The following is a 17,652-nucleotide window of genomic DNA, read 5'->3' as shown; positions in this document are numbered from 1 at the left end:
GCGAGCGTGAGCTGCGCGCCGAGAGCGGAAGAGGAGACGCAGTTTGGCGGCTGTGGGGATTTGCCGGAAGGTTAATAATGTCCATGGGCACATCGGCCTCCTCCTTTCTTATTCTCTCCCAAGTGTAATTCCAGGACGCCCCCTGAGCGCAGATTCATCCAGGCATTTGGCCTAGAGGCCCGCGGAGGAGAAATAAAGTACAGGCCTGGTAGGACCTTTGAGAACCTGGGCTTCAGCTACAAAACCAGAGCCCCAGTCCTTCATCTGCTGTCTCCTCAAGCTCTTTTCAGTGTATTGTGGAGTTCATTACCACTCTAAGCTCGCACGGAAGTGTACACCAGCTTCGTGATCTTAAAAGCAAAACAAAATCAAATGGACTAGGAATTAACTTGAAGCAGAGTTGTGACACTTAAGTGGTTTCTTGCCATCAGTTTCCACGCACTGCTTTAAGATGCAATTTTACAAGGTAGAGTTTTTTAGATAATTTGACCTCAAGAAATATATTAATTTTGTCTTTAAGTTGAACGAAGTAAAATGTTTTTAATATTTTAAAATATTAATTGATACAATTTAACTGTTAATAATGCCTGTGTGTAAATGAAAGGAATAGGAAAGATGGAACTAAAACTAAAAACCAGGAGGTTTAAAGGAGACCTTAGATTTGACTTAGTAGATTTCAACTATTTTCTAAAACTCTGAAAATTCATTATATCTAATTATTTCTAATTTTCCAGTAAAATCTGAATGCCTCACAAGAGATTCCTGAAAATTTATCAGCTCCCAAGAGCTGGTGTAGGCTAGCTCCATCACACCACTAGGAGTTACCATTGGGGTTGCCTGGAAAGGGAAAACAACACATCTTCTGGTGTACCAGAAATGTTCTGTCTTCTGCTCTTTCTGGGTGTGTTCAAAAATTCATGAAGGCAGGCTGGGCGTGGTGGCTCGCACCTGTAATCCCAGCACTTTGGGAGCCTGAGGCAGTGCATCACTCGAGGTCAGGAGTTCGAGACTAGCCTGGCCAACATGGTGAAACCCCATCTCTACTAAAAATACAAAAATTAGCCGGGCGTGATGGCGGGTGCCTGTAATCCCAGCTACTTAGGAGGCTGAGGCAGGAGAATCACTTGAACCCAGGAGGTGGAGGTTGCAGTGAGCCGAGATTGTGCCATTGCGCTCCAGCCTGGGCAACAGAGCGAGACTCCATCTAAAAAAGAAAAAAAAAAAAAAACATGAAGGCATATGCTTATTTATGCACTTTTCAGTATGTGTGTTTTATGTCAGTAACAAAGAAAATGTACATATAAATGATCAGATTTATTAAGCTTTCCACCAACAATTTTTTATTTTTTAAAGTTGGCAATAAAATTAAGAAAGTAGTTTAGAAAGAATTGAATTGCTAAATTCCAAATCTCCCAAAACCGTTGTAAATGAAAGGGATAGGAAAGATAGAACTAAAAGTCAGGAGAGATTAAAGAAGACCTTAGATTTGACAAAGCCAATTTCAGTTATTTTCTAGAACCCTGAAAATAGATTACATCTAGTCATTTCTAATTTTGTTGGTAAAATCTTAACGGTCAAGTTGTCAAGTTAGCATACATTAGCAAAACTCTCAGCATGAGTCTAGCCAAAAGTTCACCATTCATATCTGTGGCCTTAATAGCACAGCTAAGAACCACAGAAAAGTTATCAGTGCTGACAATGTAAAGCAAAGAAGTTTAAAAAGTTAATAAATTTAAGCATGTAATATCAAATTTTGCAGTGGTTTGAGTCTGTGACATGAATCGATTATTCTTTGAAAACAAACAATACTTATGAATAGAGAGGAACTTTTTCATCTGATGAAGGACATCTGTGAACTATCTCCAGCTAACATCATTTTCAATAGTGAAAAATTGATTTTTCCTTAAGATTGGAAGGAGGCAAGGATATTTGCTCTCACTATGTCTATTCAGTATTATACTGGAGGTCTTAACAAGTGCAATAAGGCAAGAAAAAGAAATAAAGGCATAATGATTTCAATGAAAGAAATAAAGCTGTATTCCCAGACAACATACAATTTCCAGACATCTACAATGAAAACTATATAACATTACTGAGAGAAATTAAAGAAGATCCAAATTAATGGAGATTATGTACCATATTAATGGATTAGAAGACCCAATATTGCTAAAATGTCAACTTTTTAAGTCTATGTCTATCAATATTTATCTACACATTAAATGCGTTTATGATCAAAATCCAAGAAGATTATTTTCTAGAAATTGGGAAAATAATTTTGCAATTTATATGGAAATGAAAAAGGCTAGAGCCAAAACAATCTTGAAAAAAATAAGCAAATATTTAAATGACATATACTACAGGTTTTCAAGAGTTATAAAGTTATAGTAAAATAGTATATTACACGAAGTTAGACAAAAATGGAACAAATAGAGGGTTAAGAAATATATCCACATATATAAAGTCAATTGATTTTAAACAGTGCCAGTGCACTTCAATGGGGAAAGAAAAATCTTTCCAACAATGAAAATGAAAGCTGATATCATTGAGAGAAAAAAAATTATCCATGACCCCTGCCTCGTGCCATACCTGAAAGTTAATTTAAATTAAATCATAGACTTTGTGCCATGGACACATACCATACATATTATCCTTCAAGGGATAATGTGAAGGGTTCTGCTTCCAGCCAAGATGGAGTAACAGCAACTGGGTTTATGTGAAGGGTTCTGCTTCCAGCCAAGATGGAGTAACAGCAACTGGGTTTATCCTCCTGTCTGGAATAAGTAAAGAATCAGACAAAATATATGAAACAATGAATTTTTATACCTCGGTTATCAGATAATGATAATGACCCCTGCATAACAGGAAACAAATTTAAGATGATCCCTATTATTTCCTAAGCTTACTCCCTGAAGACAGGTGGTTCCAAGTCATGATACAAAGAACAGAAAACCCAGGCAGCTTCTAGCGGTCTCTGAGTTGAGGGAAGGAGGTGTCCAGGAAGGCCAAGGAAGCTAGAGTTCAAAGGAGAGAATCCGAGAGAAGAAATTAAAGAACAAAGAGAGCTCCATAAATCTTCAGGGGACCCCTTTAGTCTTCAACTGGGTAATGATCACTGTATACATGTATGAAAACTATCCATGGCCAGGGAAAGAACCACGTGGAAGCATGATAGGATATGACACTCAGTGCCATGATAGGATATGATACTCAGTGCTCAGAATATTTCATGTTACCACCAGCTAGAGTCAAAAGTTTTATAATTTAAGGGGCAGTGAGTAAAGTGCTCAAAAGGGTTTTGCCTCAGGAAGGGTTCAAAAACAGTCTTACACTAAACACTCCTCTGGACCTGTCAAACAAAGCTTAAAAGTAAGATCTGAAAGGATTGAATGTTTCCAGTAACTTAGCTGAGACCCAAAACACAGCTCAAGAATATTTATAGGCATACAAAACCTTCCAGCACTCAATAAGATAAAAAGTTACAGTGATAACTACAAAAAATTGCTGAGAGAAAATAAAAAGACCTAAATAAATGAAGATACACTGTGTTCATGAATCAGAAGATTTAATAATGTTAGGATGTCAGTTCTCCCCAAATTGATCTATAAATCCAATGCAATTCCATTGAAACTACCATCAGGCTTTTGTGAAGCAATTTGCAACCTGACGCTAAAGTTCATTTGGAAATAGGAAGGATCTGCAATAGCCAGAATGACTTTTTAAAAGAAAAACAAAATTGGAGGTATACATTACAAGAAGTATAGTCAGGGAGCATTGAGTGCCCTGGAAATAAAGTCTTGTTTGCATTTATTGGGTATCCCCTTTCCCCCTACCTCCACCAAAATGGCACTCATATTACTCATGAGGCACAGGTTGACCATGCCTCCAACATGGCCTCCCAATCAACAATACACCTTAGGATTCCCAGTTCAGTTTGAATAATTGAGCATCCTTGTTTTTGTAGGTACCACATGATGGAAGTCAGTCCAATCTTTCCTATCCTGTTTCATCCACCACCACAAAATACCTAAGTGACAGCTATGGGACTATCTACAGGCAATACATACAAGCTGTTGACAAGTTTTTGCATGGAAAATGAAGAAGCTGAGACCATTCACTGCTGTTTCTAATAGACTTCTCAGAAAGAATAAGAGAATAGTAATCAAATTGTGGTCAAAGCCATCTAACAGAGGATAACAGACCCAGGAATCAGTTAAATTCAAGGACTTGAAACAGTTTGCAAAAGCTGCAGCAGGGCATTTTCCTTTGTGAGGGAAAGCTCCAGGATCAGTTCTAAAAGACAAAAGAATATTAATACTAATGTCCCTTTATCCCCCAGTGCCTTTCCAAGTGCTTAGGTCTCAGTCTCTCTCTCTCTGTCTCTCTCTCTCTAACACTGCCACAAAATTAATGTGTCCCATTCTAGTAACTATAACCTCTTTCCAATCATGCTTCTAATCTCACCTAAAATTTTCATCTGGAACAGTCAGTCAAGAGCAAGAGTGACAAGGGAATTTTTATAAAACATATAAAAACCCATTATGTCCCTCACTTGTGGCTTTTATGGGTCAGTGTCAGGGGACTAGGTGGAGAGTATCAACCCAAAGCAGGATAGTAAGGGCCTGAATACTAGACATTGCTTCATCTCTGGTTTCCCGTGGCAGGTTCTCTGTCTCAGGAATCTCTTACTGAGAGGGCCAGGTACACTTACAGCAGCCAGCGCCTACTCCAAGAAAACTCGTACTGTCATCTTCAAAAAGATCTAATATTGGCCTGATAGAATTCAGGAGGAGTTGAGCTATAAGAGGTTGCCATTGCTGTTGCCATTCCTCCTTAACAAACATTGTGCACCTCTCTCCCTCATCTCCCAAGCTAACAAGCCAAAGTTCTTAAGATTTGCAAAATTTCTGTCCATAGCAGTCCCAAATCCTCTCCTTTTGCATTTAGAGGTGCATATCTCCGTAACTATTTTCTGAAAAGGATCAGAACCTTACTCTAACCCAGAATGGATCTTAGTTCTCGTTGTTACAATGGGATGGGAGTGACACTGACCATCAGATCGACCCTCCTGCCCCCACCTCAATGAACCTATTTTCCAGTACTCAGCCTGCAGCCATCTCCCTAGTTCCTCCTTGGTAGCAGAGAATGAAAGAGGGGAGGATCACTTATTGCTTGATTGACTAGACAGTTTGAATAATATGGCTGCTACTAAATCCTACAGACTTCCCTCAAATTATCACTGAACTATTGGAAGGCTCTTGTCTTTCTTATTCCAGAAAGCCATGTCTTGTCAGTATTCCATCTTTATTACCAAAAATGGTAAGAATAGTAAGAGTCTGTAATTTTACCTTGCTAGAAAACAAGTTAGCATGGCACAAATTCATAGACACTGGCAGGAGATATGAGATTCCTGGGCCAGGGATAAAGAACAATTTATTAATCAGAGCAATAGCAGTAATCAGAGTAACAACATTTGTGCTAGTTCTTCAAGCCCTGATTCCCACAGAGCACACTCAGTGAGTTGCATTACCCAAGAGCAACCCTATTTAGGAAACCCCAATATTTTCTAAAACCCTTGCTAGAAAACCTTTTCAACCTTTTTCCAGTGGAAGACATTGTCTTTATTATCATGAACAGCCAACAAACCTGCCTTCTTCCCCAAAGGGAGACACTATATTTTCCAAAGCTGTTTGCTATACAGACATTCTTGAAAAGACAGTCTAGAAAAAAGCTACGAATACAATTGCTCAGAAGATATGCAAAAACAGAAGATCTATGGAGAATTATCTCCCAACACCTCCATAAATATATTCACACATAGACCCAAATGTAAAACCTAAATCTATAAAGGTTCTAGAACAAAATATAGGAGTAACTTGAGTTACCTTAACAACCAACAAGGTCAGGGGTGGTCCAGAAAGCTTGACCCACAGGGACAGAGACAGGACTTTGGTGAGGCAAGCAGGGCATCTCCTATGAAAAATCTAAGCACTCACTGTTAGGTGCTGAGCCTGCACTTGCAAAACCTGAGAGTGAGCACCTCCTTAAATTTTTTATTTTCCTAGTTGGGCTTGCCATAATCTCCACACTGCATCCTTTTCCTTCACTGACACAAAATCACAGAGAATGGCAGCTTGTTTTGCTCAAAGCAGCAGTACAGCTTACTTACATCACAACCTGGACCTGCTACATTTTCTGTCCTAAGCCCCATTCAAACCTGGCAGCATTCCATGTCACATTTTATCTGCTGGATTAGCATTTGGAGATACAGAATGTATTGCTTCCACAACCCAAAGAGACCCATGACATTATACTTCCTTCTTTGTAGTAGGACATGGATTCTTACTAGGAATAATATCACCCCCAAGGGGGCAAAAATTGGTATTTAATGGTTTATGTGGTCCTGTAGTCTTCCAAAGGTCACACTACCTAAACAAATATACAGTACATCTGTGCTATCAATATTTCATGATGGAGAGGTAATTAGGGGTAAAATGTCTAAAAAACTTCCTTACCAGGGCATTAACAACAAAAAGGTTGAGAAACACTGTAGCAGGAGAAGATGCAACAACAACCAAAAAAGACATTTTTTAAAGAGGATGTCTCTACATGCCTTTGATCGTCAGATCTCTGAAGTATTTACTGAAGAGGTGAGTCCCAGAATCTTAGAAGAGTTTATTTGCCACCCTTTAGAATGTATTTGTCAAAAAGTGCCCATTATGGGCCAGGTGCCATGGCTCACGCCTGTAATCCCAGCACTTTGGGAGGCCGAGGCAGGCAGATCACGAGGTCAGGAGATCGAGACCATCCTGGCTAACACGGTGAAACCCCATCTCTACTAAAAATACGAAAAAATTAGCCAGGCGTGGTGGCACACGCCTTTAGTCCCAGCTACTTGGGAGGCTGATGCAGGAGAATGGCGTGAACCTGGGAGGCGGAGCTTGCAGTGAGCCAAGACAGCACCACTGCACTCCAGCCTGGGCAACAGAGCAAGACTCTGTCTCAAAAAAAAAAAAAAAGTGCCCATTATGAACTTGGTTCTGTCAGATCTATCAAGTTATAAAGATGAGTGAACGAAGCATCAGTTCATCATAAGATGTAAAAAGTGCATCTGGGATTAAACCTGAACAGGAGTAGAAGGTAGGCATAATCTACATGAGGAGGTAGCCTGTACCTCCATGTCACCCACCACAGTTGCGCCAGGGCCCCTCCCCTCAGCTCACATCTATGGCTTTATGGGAGTCCTGTACTACTAGTTGAAGAAAGGGGAAAATTAAGAGGTTAGTTTCCAGATAGGCTGTCTAGGTATAACAGCGCAAGGCAAAAATAGATGGTGGCTGCATTATAGACACAATGGGGGACAGTCTTGAACAAGTGTTGAGGGAAATTGTTCCTGAGAAGCTGTGAGCAATGTCTCTGCTCACTCACTTTGTGTGAAAGAAGTGGCTCAAGGTGAGACATATATGGACTATATATGGACTCATGGGTGGTGGCAAGTGGCTTGTCCTGCTAATCAAGGGCTTAGAAGGAAATGGACTGAAAGGTCAGAGACAAGGAGATCTTAGGTAGAGGCATGTGGTGCCTATGGCTAAACATATGAAATTTTTCATATCATATGTAATTTCCTATCAGATGGCATCCACCACAGAAGAAGCACAGAACAACTTTATGGACAAAATAATTCAGCCTGCTAATGTTAGCCAACCTTTGTCTTCAGCCACCCCAGACCACATAGCCACATGAAAGAAGTGGTCATAGTAACAGAGATAGAGGCTACACCTGAGACCAAAAGCATGGACTCCCTCTCACCAAGGTCAGTCTAGCTACTGTTGCCTCTGAATGTCCTCCATGGCAGCAGCAGAAACCAGTATTCTTGTATGACACTATTCCTTCAAGAGACCACTTGTCCATTTGATGGCAGGTTGATTATGTTGAGTCCCTTCCATCCTGGAAGAGCCAGTGAAATACACGGATCTGGAAACCAAAGGATGAAAGCAGGAAATATTTAGCTAGCATCACTCCCAATAACCACTAAGGAGATTTGTACATCTCTTCCTGCAATCCTGGACCTCAAAAACTTAGACATTTTGGTTCCCAAAAGAGGCATAACAAGCCTCCTACTGAACTACAAGCTACAGCTGCCACATGGGCACTCTGAACTTTTCGTTTCCAGGAACCACAAGGCTGTGAGAAGGAGTCACAGTCTTGGTAGTCTAGATGACACTGACGAGCAGGATGAGGTAGAGATAATGTTAGACAATGGTGGTGGAGAGGAATATGTGTGAAATTCAGGTGATCCACTTGAGTGCCTCTTGGTACTTCCTTGCCCAATGTGACTGTGAATAAGCAAGTACAGCAAACCTGGCCTGAAGTCGACAAAAGCTATAGAGGAGCTGCACTCCAAATGTGTAAGGACAAATACATGTAAAGCAAAGAGGGGACTGTAGCAGACACGAAAACATGCCACTTACAACTCTCTTCAAGAAGGAACCTGCAGCAAAGAATGTAGACTAGTGAAAACCAGCTATGGATGTCTTCAGGATTTGTCTTATTAATAACTTTTGAGCTGAGGCCACTTGCCTCCTGGGCATCCTCCAGCTGATGACTGAGCATGCAATGATGTAAAGATTTGCTGTTTCTGGCCAGTGTGAGACTCCTCTGTGAACAATATTTGTTTTTGAGATCACTGGGCTTTCTAATACATTCCCAGAGCTACCCCCACAGTTTGATGCTCTTTTATATAGTCCTCTTTCTTTTCCCCACTCTTTTCACAGGTATCAGACTGGTATCACAGCCTGAAAGCTTTCTCTGCCACTCCTACTCTCTTTCCTTTAACTTTCACAATTATAAATCTCCTTCACTTATAACTCCATTTGGCATATGCATCCTGGAGGACCCAAATCAACACAGACCTAGCCATAAAAACAAAAAAACATAAAGCTATGAAAGCAAAAAGTGTAAAGAAAACATAGGTGAATATATTAATGACCTCGGCATAGGCAACTTTTTTTTGACAAGACAAAAATTACTAACCATCTGAAAATTGATAAACTGGACAGCTTTCAAATTTTTAAAAATGTGCATCAACAGATGAATAAGTAAACTATGGTATATTATTACAATGGAATACTGTGCAATAAAAAAAGGAATGAATTTTTGATATGCAGAACAATTTGGATGAAACTCAAAGGCATTACACTGAGTGAAAGGACCCAGTCTCAAAAGGTTACATACTATATGATTGCATTGACATGACGTTCTCAAAAATACAAAACTGTGGTAATGAAGAACTAATCAGTATCTTCCAGGGATTGGAGGTGGGAGAGAGTGTGACTATAAAAGGATAGAACGAGGAAGTTTGGGGGGGTTATGGCACTGTTCTGTATCCAGATTCATGTTGGTTATATTTCATGCATGTGTTAAAATTCATATAACTGTACAGCAAAAAGTCCATTTTACTGCACGTTAATTTTTTAATTAAAAATACAAAAAATCTCCACATGATCATACTCTGCTTAAAATTATTCAGTGGGTGAATGCTTGGGACTCATTTGCTCAGGTGTATAGTAGGTATATATTTGACTTTTTGTAAAAAGCTGCCAGGCCATTTTCTAGGGTGTTTGTTTTATACAGGCATAGCTCATTTATTGCACTTGCTTTATTGCACTTTGAAGATACTGCACTTTTTTACAAGTGGAGGGTTTGTGGCAAGCTTGCATCAAGCAAGTTAATCAGCACCATTTTCCCAACAGCATGTGCACACTTCATGTCTCTGTGTCACATTTTGGCAACTCTTACAATATTTCAGTCTTGTTCATTATTATTATATCTGTTATGGTGACCTGTGATCATTGGTCTTTGATGTTACTATTGTAATTGTTTTGGGGCACTGCAAACCACACCCATGTAAGACAGTGAAGTTAATTGATCGATGTTCTGTGTTCTGACTGCTTCACTAACTGGCCATTACTCCATTTCTCTTCTATCCTTCAGGTCTTCCTATTCCCTGAGACACAACAATATTGAAATAGGGCCAATTAATAACCCTACAATGGTCTGTAATTGTGCAAGTGGAAGAAAGAATCGTGTGCCTCTCGCTTTAAATCAAAAGCTAGAAATGATTAAGCTGACTGAGGAAGGCATGTTTGAAGCTGAAACAGACTGAAAGCAAGTCCTCTTGCACCAAAAGGCCAAGTTGTTAAAGCAAAGGAAAAATTATTGAAGTAAATTAAGTGCTACTCTAGTAAACACAATTGATAAGAAAGCAAAACAGCCTTATTGCTGGTACAGAGAAAGTTTGAGTCGTTTGGGTAGAAGATCAAACCAGCCACAACATTCCCTTAAGCAAAAGCCTAATCCAGAGGGCCCTAACTCTCTTCAATTCTATGAAGACTAAGAGAGGTGAGAAAGCTGCAGAAGAAAAGTTGGAAGCTAGTAGAGTTTGGTTCATGAGGTTTAAGGAAAAAAGCCATCGCTATAACGTAACAGGTCAAGAAGGAAGTGTTGATGTAGAAGCTACAGCAAGTTATCTGAAAGATCTAGGTAAGAACTGATGAAGGCAATTACATAAAACAGAGGCTTTTCTTTTCTTTTTCTTTTTTACTTTCTTTTTTTCTTTTGAGACAGGGTCTTGCTCTGTCACCCAGGTTGGAGTACAGTGGTGTGATTATAGTACAATTGCAGCCTTGAACTCCCAGACTCAAGTGACCCCACTGCCTCATCCTCACAAGTAGGTGGGACTACAGGTACATGCCACCATGACTGGTGAATTTTTCTTTTTTTTATTTTTAATAGAGACAAGATCTCACTATGTTGCCCAGGCTGGTCTCAAACTCCTAGGCTCATGCAATCCTCCAGCCTCAGCCTCCCAAAGTGCAACAAATACAGGTGTGAGCCACCATGGTCAGCCAACAATAGCTTTCCAGTATAAACTAAACAGTCTTCTATTGAAAGAAAATGCCATCTGGGACTTTCATAGCTAGAGAGTAGAAGTCAATGCCTGGCTTCAAAGACTCAAAGCACAGACTGACTTTTCCGTTAGGGGCTCATGCAGCTGGTACTTTAAGTTGAAGCCATTGCTCACGTACCATTCTGAAAATGTTACGACACTTAAGAATTATTCTAAATGTATTCTGCCTATGCTCCAAAAATAGAACAACAAATTCTAGATGACAGCATTTCTGTTTGTAATATACCTCACTGAATATTTTAAGCCCACTGTTGAGACCTACTGCTCAGAAAAAAAAAGATTTCTTTCAAAATATTACTGCTATTGACAATGTACCTGGTCACCCAAGAGCTCTGGTGAGATATACAAGGAGATTAATATTTTTATGCCTGCTAACGCAGCATCCATTCTTCAGCCCATGGAACAAATAGTCATTTTGACTTTTAAGTCCTATTATTTAAGAAACACATTTTGGGCCAGGCGCAGTGGCTCACGCCTATAATCCCACCACTTTTGGAGGCCAAGGCAGGCAGATCACCTGAGGTCGGGAGTTCAAGACCAGCCTGACCAACATGGAGAAACCCTGTCTCTACTAAAAATACAAAATTAGCCAGGCATGGTGGCACATGCCTGTAATCCCAGCTACTTGGGAGGCTGAGGCAGGAGAATTGCTTGAACCTGGGAGGTGAGGTTGCAGTGAGCCAAGATCACACCATTGCACTCCAGCCTGGGCAGCAAGAGTGAAACTGTGAAACTCCATCTCAAAAAAAAAAAAAAAAACACATTTTGTAAGACTATCGCCTATCGCTGCCATAGATGGTGATTCTTCTCATGGATCAGGGAGAGCTATATTGAGCTATATTGAAAACCTTCTGGAAAGGATTCACCATTCTAGATGCCAGTAAGAATATTTGTGATTCATAGGTGGAGGCAAAATACCAACCCTGACAGGAGTTTGGAAATTGTTGATTCCAACCCTCATAGATGACTTGCAAGGGTTCAAAACTTCAGTGGAGGAGTAACTGTAGATGTGGTGGAAATAGCAAAAGAACCAGAATTAGAAATGGAGCCTGTAGATGACAATGAATTGCTGCAATGATCAAATTGGAACAAATGAGGAGTTACTTCTTATGGATAAGCAAAGAAAGTGGTTTCTTAACATGAAATCTACTCCTGGTGGAGATCCTATGCACATTGTTGAAATCAAAACCAAGGATTTAGAATATCACACAAATTTAGCTGATAAAGCAGCAGCAGAGTTTGAGAGGATTGACTCCAAACTTAAAAGAAGTTCTAGTGTGTGTAAAATGCTATCAAACAGCATCATGTGCTGCAGAAAAATCTTTCATGAAAGAAAGAGTCAATTGATGTGGCAAACTTCATTGTTATGGTGTTATCATAAGAAATTTCCACAGCCACCCCAACCTTCAGCTGCCACCACACTGATCAGTCAGTTGTCATTAATATTGAGAAAAGATCCTCCACGAGCAAAAAGATTACAACTCACTGAAGGTCAAAATGATCATTTGCATTTGTAGCAATAAAGTATTTTCTTTTCTTTTTTTTTTTTTTTTTGAGATGGGGTCTTGCTGTGTCACCCAGGCTGGAGTGCAGTGGGGCAATCTCTGCTCACTGCAACCTCTGAGAGCCTCCTGGGTTCAGGCAAGTCTCCTGCCTCAGCCTCCTGAGTAGCTGGGATTACAGGTGCTCACCACCACACCCAGCTAATTTTTGTATTTTTAGTAGAGACAGGGTTTCACCATGTTGACCAGGCTGGTCTTGAACTCCTAGCCTCAAGTGATCCACCCACCTCAGCCTCCCAAAGTTCTGGAATTACAGGCATGAGCCACCACACCTGGCCAAGTATTTTCAGTTAAGGTATGTAAAATGGTTTTTTAGACATAATGTGATTGCACACTTAATGACTAAAATATAGTTCAAACATAACTTTTATATGCAATGGAAAATCAAAAAATCATTGCAATGTTCACTTCTTTGCAGTGGTCTGGAACTAAACCTATAACATCTCTGAGGTATATCTGTATTTTAGTAGGGATGGTGGTTACATGGGTATATACAAGAAAAGAAAACGACAGGCCAATATCACTGATGAACATAGATGCAAAAATCCTCAACAAAATACTAGCTAACCATATTCAGCAGGACATTCAAAGTATCATTCACAATAATTCAGTGGGATTGATCTCTGGGATGCAAGATTGGTTCAACAAACACAAATCAATCAACATGATTCACTATATTAGCAGAATAAAGGGCAAAAACTATATGATCAGGCCGGGCATGGTGGCTCACACCTGTAATGTAAGCACAGCACTTTGGGAGGCCAAGGCAGGAGGATCGTTTGAACTCAGGAGTTCGAGACCAGCCTGGGCAACATGGCGAAACTCCATCTCTACAAAAAAATACAAAAATTAGCCAGGTGTGGTGGCACATGCCTGTAGCCCCAGCCACTCAGGAGGCTGAGACAGGAGGATCAATTGAGCCCAGGAGGTAGAGGTTGCAGTGAGCAGAGATTGTGCCATTGCATTCCAGCCTGGGCAGCAGAGTGAGACCTTGTCAAAAAAAAAAAAAAAAAAAAAAAAAAAAAAAAAAAAAAACATGATCAATTACATAGTTGCAGAAAAAAAAATTTGAAAAAAATTCAACATCTTTTTATAATAAAAGCTGTTAATCAATTTCATATAGAAAGAATGTTTCTCAACACCATAAAGGCCATATATGACAAACCTATAGCTAACATACTCAATATGAAAAAATGGAAAGCTTTTTCTCTAAGAGCAGGAACAAAATAAGGATGCCTGCTCTCATCCCTTCTGTTCAACATAGTACTGAAAGTCCTAGCCAGAGCAGTTAGGCGAGAGAAAGAAATAAAAAGTATCCAAATAGGAAAGGAAAAAGTAAAATTATCTGTTTGCTGATGACTTGATCTTATATGCAAAAAACCTTAAACATTCCACCAAAAAGCTGTTAGAACTAGTAAACAAATTCAGTAAAGCTGCAGGACACAAAATCAACTTTCAAAAATCAGTAGTGCTTCTATACACTAACAATGAGCTATCTGAAAAAGAAATTAATTAAACAATCCCATTTACAGTAGCATTAAAAAATAAGATAATCAGGAGTAAATTGAAACAAGGAAGTGAATGATATGTATACTGAAAATTATAAAACATTGATGAATAAAATTGAAAACGACATAAATAAATGGAAATATATCCTGTGTTAATGGATTGGAAGAATAAACATTGATAAAAGTCATAATACCCAAAGCAATCTACAGAGTCAATGCAATTCCTATCAAAAGTCCAATGTCACTCTTCACAGAAATGGAAAAATTAATCCTAAAATGTGTATGGAAACACAAATGATCCTGAATGGCTAAAACAATCTGGATCAAAAAGATCAATGACAAAGACATCACACTACCAAATTTCAAAATATATTACAAAGCTCTAGTAACAAAACAGTATGATGCTGGCATAAAAACAGAAATATCGATCAATGGTATAGGATTGAGCCCAGAGATAAACCCACACATCTATGGTCAATTGATTTTTAACAAAGATACCAAGAATCCACAATGGTAAGAGGACAGTTTCTTTAATAAACGGTGTTGGGAAACCTAAATAGGCACATATGGAAGAAGAATAAAGATGGACTCTTATTTCACCTCTTACACAATAATCAACTCAAAATAGATTAAAGACCTAAATGTGAGAACTGAAACTATAAAACTACTAGAAGAAAACATAGGGAGAAAGCTTTATGACATTGATCTAGGCAGTGATTTCTTGAGTATGACCCCAAAAGTACAGGCAATAAAAGCAAAAATAAACAAATGGGATTGCATCGAAATAAAAAGCTTCTGCACAGCAAAGGAAAAAATAAAGTAAGAAAACAGCTCACAGATCAGGAAAGAACATTTGAAAATTGCACATTGTTAAGGGGCTAATACCCAAAATATATAAGGGACTCAAACTACTCAATAAACAAGAAAATGAATAATCCTATTTAAAAATGGGAAAAGGACTTAAATAGACATTTATCAAAAGAAGACATACAAATGGCCAAAAGATTTATGAAAAATGCTAACATCTCTAATAATCAGAAAAATACAAATTGAAATCACAATGAGATATCACTTCATACCCACTAGATTGGCTGTTATCAAAATGATAAAACATAACAAGTATTGGCAATGATGAGAAAGGGGAACCTTTGTACACTATTGGTGAGTACATATCTTTTTTAAGACTGTAATATCCTCTTGATAAATTGACACCTTTAACTTTGTATAGCTATCTTGGAAAATAGTAAGGAGGTTCTTCAAAAAGCTAAAAATAGAATTACCATATGATCCATCAGTCTCACTTCTGGATATTTACCCAAAGGAACTGAAATTAATATGTCAAAGAGATGTCTACACTCCCATGTTCACTGCAGCATTATTCACAATCGCCAAGATATGGAAACAACTTAAGTGACTATCAACAAATAAATGGATTTTTATGTAATTATATAAAACCTATATACAGCAGGATGCTATTCAGCTTTAAAAAAGAAAAAACAGGAAATTCTGTCATTTTCAAAAATATAGATAAATCTGAGGACATACGTTAAATGAAATAAGCCAGGCACAGAGAAACTAATACTGTATGATTTCATCTATACGTGGACTCTAAAAAAGTCAACCTCATAGAAGTAGATGGTAGAATGGTGATTACCAGAGTCGGGGTGGGGGTGAATGGGAAAAGGGAAGATATTGGGCAATGGGTACTAAGTTTCAGCTGGAGAGGAGAAATTAGTTCTGGTGTTCTATTGTAAAGCATGGTGATTAAAGTTAATAATTTGTGTATACTTCAAGTTAGATAATAGAGAGGATTTTAAATATTCTTACCACAAAGAAATGATAAATATTTGAGGTGATGGATATGTTAGTTAGCCTTATTTGATTATTCCACAGTGTATGTAGTATCAAAACATCACATTGCAGCTCATAAGTATATATAATTTTTATTTTTGTCAAATAAAACTAAAAACTGTTTTAAAAAACATGAAATTTGGAAAAGGCATTAACAAATAAATCAGAAAATGGAATATAAAGCCCAAAACAGACCCATGTATATATAAGACTTTTTAGTTATAAAAATATAGCATTTGGAATCACTGATGAAAGAATGTACAATTCAATAAATGGCTAGGGAATGTGCAACTACCATTTGGGGAATAAATTAAGTTGTATTTCTACCACATAGCACATAAAAAGTTCTAAATGGATTAAAACATAAAATGCTAATTAACCATAAATTATTAGAAGAAAAATTAATATAATATTTTTATAACATTACTTGGGATAAAGATGCCTTCTAAAAACACTGTGAGCTCAAAAACCATCAAGAAAAATGTGAAAAGATCAAATTACATGACACTTTAAAAATTCTATTTGTTGCATGATATCCTTTAAAACATTAAAAGACAAGTAGAAGACATATTTGCAACATATGTAACTGGCAAAGAATATATAAAGAGCTTCTAAAAAGACAACTCAGTAAAAAAAATGAGCAATCAACAATTCACAGAAGAAATTCAAATACAGAATAAACATAAGATGTTCAAGTTCTCTAAAAATTGTAAAAATGCAAACTAAAACAAGAGTGATATATCACTTTATACCTATCAAACTGGCAAATTTTTATTTTATTTTATTTATTTTGCAAGAGCTTCTTAAGGAACCATTAGCGAAAATGTAAAGTCTTGATAATATCCAGTGTTAGCAAGAATTTCGGGAAAGGAAGACTTATGCATACTTCATGAGAGAACCAATTAGTAAAGCCCTTTTGGAAAGCAATTTAACAGTATCTTTTTTTTTTTTTTTTTTTAGACAGTGTCTCACTCTGTAGACCAGGCTGGAGTGCAGTGGCGTGATCTTGACTCACTGCAACCTCTGCCTCCTGGGTTCAAACGATTCTCATGCCTCAGCCTACCAAGTAGCTGGAATTACAGTCATGTGCCACCATGCCCAGCTAATTTTTGTATTTTTAGTAGAGACGGGGTTTCACCATGTTGGCCAGGCTGGTCTCAAACTCCTGACCTCAGGTGATCCACCTGCCTGGGCCTCCCAAAGTGCTGGGATTACAGGTGTGAGTCACCACACTTGGTCGTAATTGTATTTTTAAGGATTATTTTTTTCTCTGTAGTTTTGTTATATAGGCAATATAGGAATAAATTATTTTTATAAAATATTCAAATATATGGAAATACATAGGGTAATACTACAAGTTTATCTTTACCTCACACATTATAAATACACACATATATTAATGTGTATAACTTGAGTCCTTTTTCTCTGCATTAACATATATCAAATGTAGATTTAAAAACAAGTAAATTTGTGTTTTTAGTAGAGACAGGATTTTGCCTTTCGCCATATTGGCCAAGCTGATCTCAAACTCCTGACCTCAAGTTATCCTCCCACCTCAGCCTCCCAGAGTATTGGGGTTACAGGTGTGAGCCACAGGGCCCAGCCAATAGTATCTTTTAAAGTTAAAATTTTATATATTCTTTTATGTGATAATTTTGTATCAATCCAACCTATAGATTTAAAATATGGGCACAAAGATATTTGAACAAAGATGTTTATTGTAACATCATTTGTAATAATGAAAAATTTTAAATAGTCCAAATAT

At 38.1% G+C, this 17,652-nt stretch overlaps 1 protein-coding gene and 1 long non-coding RNA gene across 2 annotated transcripts in view, besides 1 other annotated feature; one reads left to right on the top strand and one right to left on the bottom strand.

Annotated features, from left to right (window-relative positions):
• CCDC7 (coiled-coil domain containing 7) overlaps positions 1 to 2,755 on the bottom strand; it is a 439,541-nt gene extending 436,786 nt beyond the window's left edge. The window contains exon 1 of the mRNA XM_047425743.1: positions 2,637 to 2,755. The gene's annotated coding sequence lies outside the window, so the exon portion shown is untranslated. The remainder of the gene's footprint in view (positions 1 to 2,636) is intronic.
• On the top strand, positions 23 to 11,725 carry LOC101929431 (uncharacterized). The gene is made up of 3 exons (NR_120660.1): positions 23 to 466; positions 3,962 to 6,647; positions 9,991 to 11,725. It is a non-coding gene; the product is annotated as an uncharacterized LOC101929431 (long non-coding RNA).
• Positions 69 to 388: an enhancer, noted in NCBI's record as "active region_3248". NCBI's record gives its function as "activates an Ori minimal core promoter by ATAC-STARR-seq in GM12878 lymphoblastoid cells {active_cell/tissue: GM12878}" and the evidence as "EXISTENCE:reporter gene assay evidence [ECO:0000049][PMID:35858748]".
• Positions 11,726 to 17,652: the final 5,927 nt, after the last annotated feature.

This window comes from Homo sapiens, chromosome 10 (genome assembly GCF_000001405.40).
Source record: "Homo sapiens chromosome 10, GRCh38.p14 Primary Assembly".
Taxonomy (NCBI): Eukaryota; Metazoa; Chordata; class Mammalia; order Primates; family Hominidae; genus Homo; species Homo sapiens.
The sequence above is the reverse complement of the archived record's forward strand: the minus strand, read 5'-3'. Positions and strand labels throughout refer to the sequence as shown.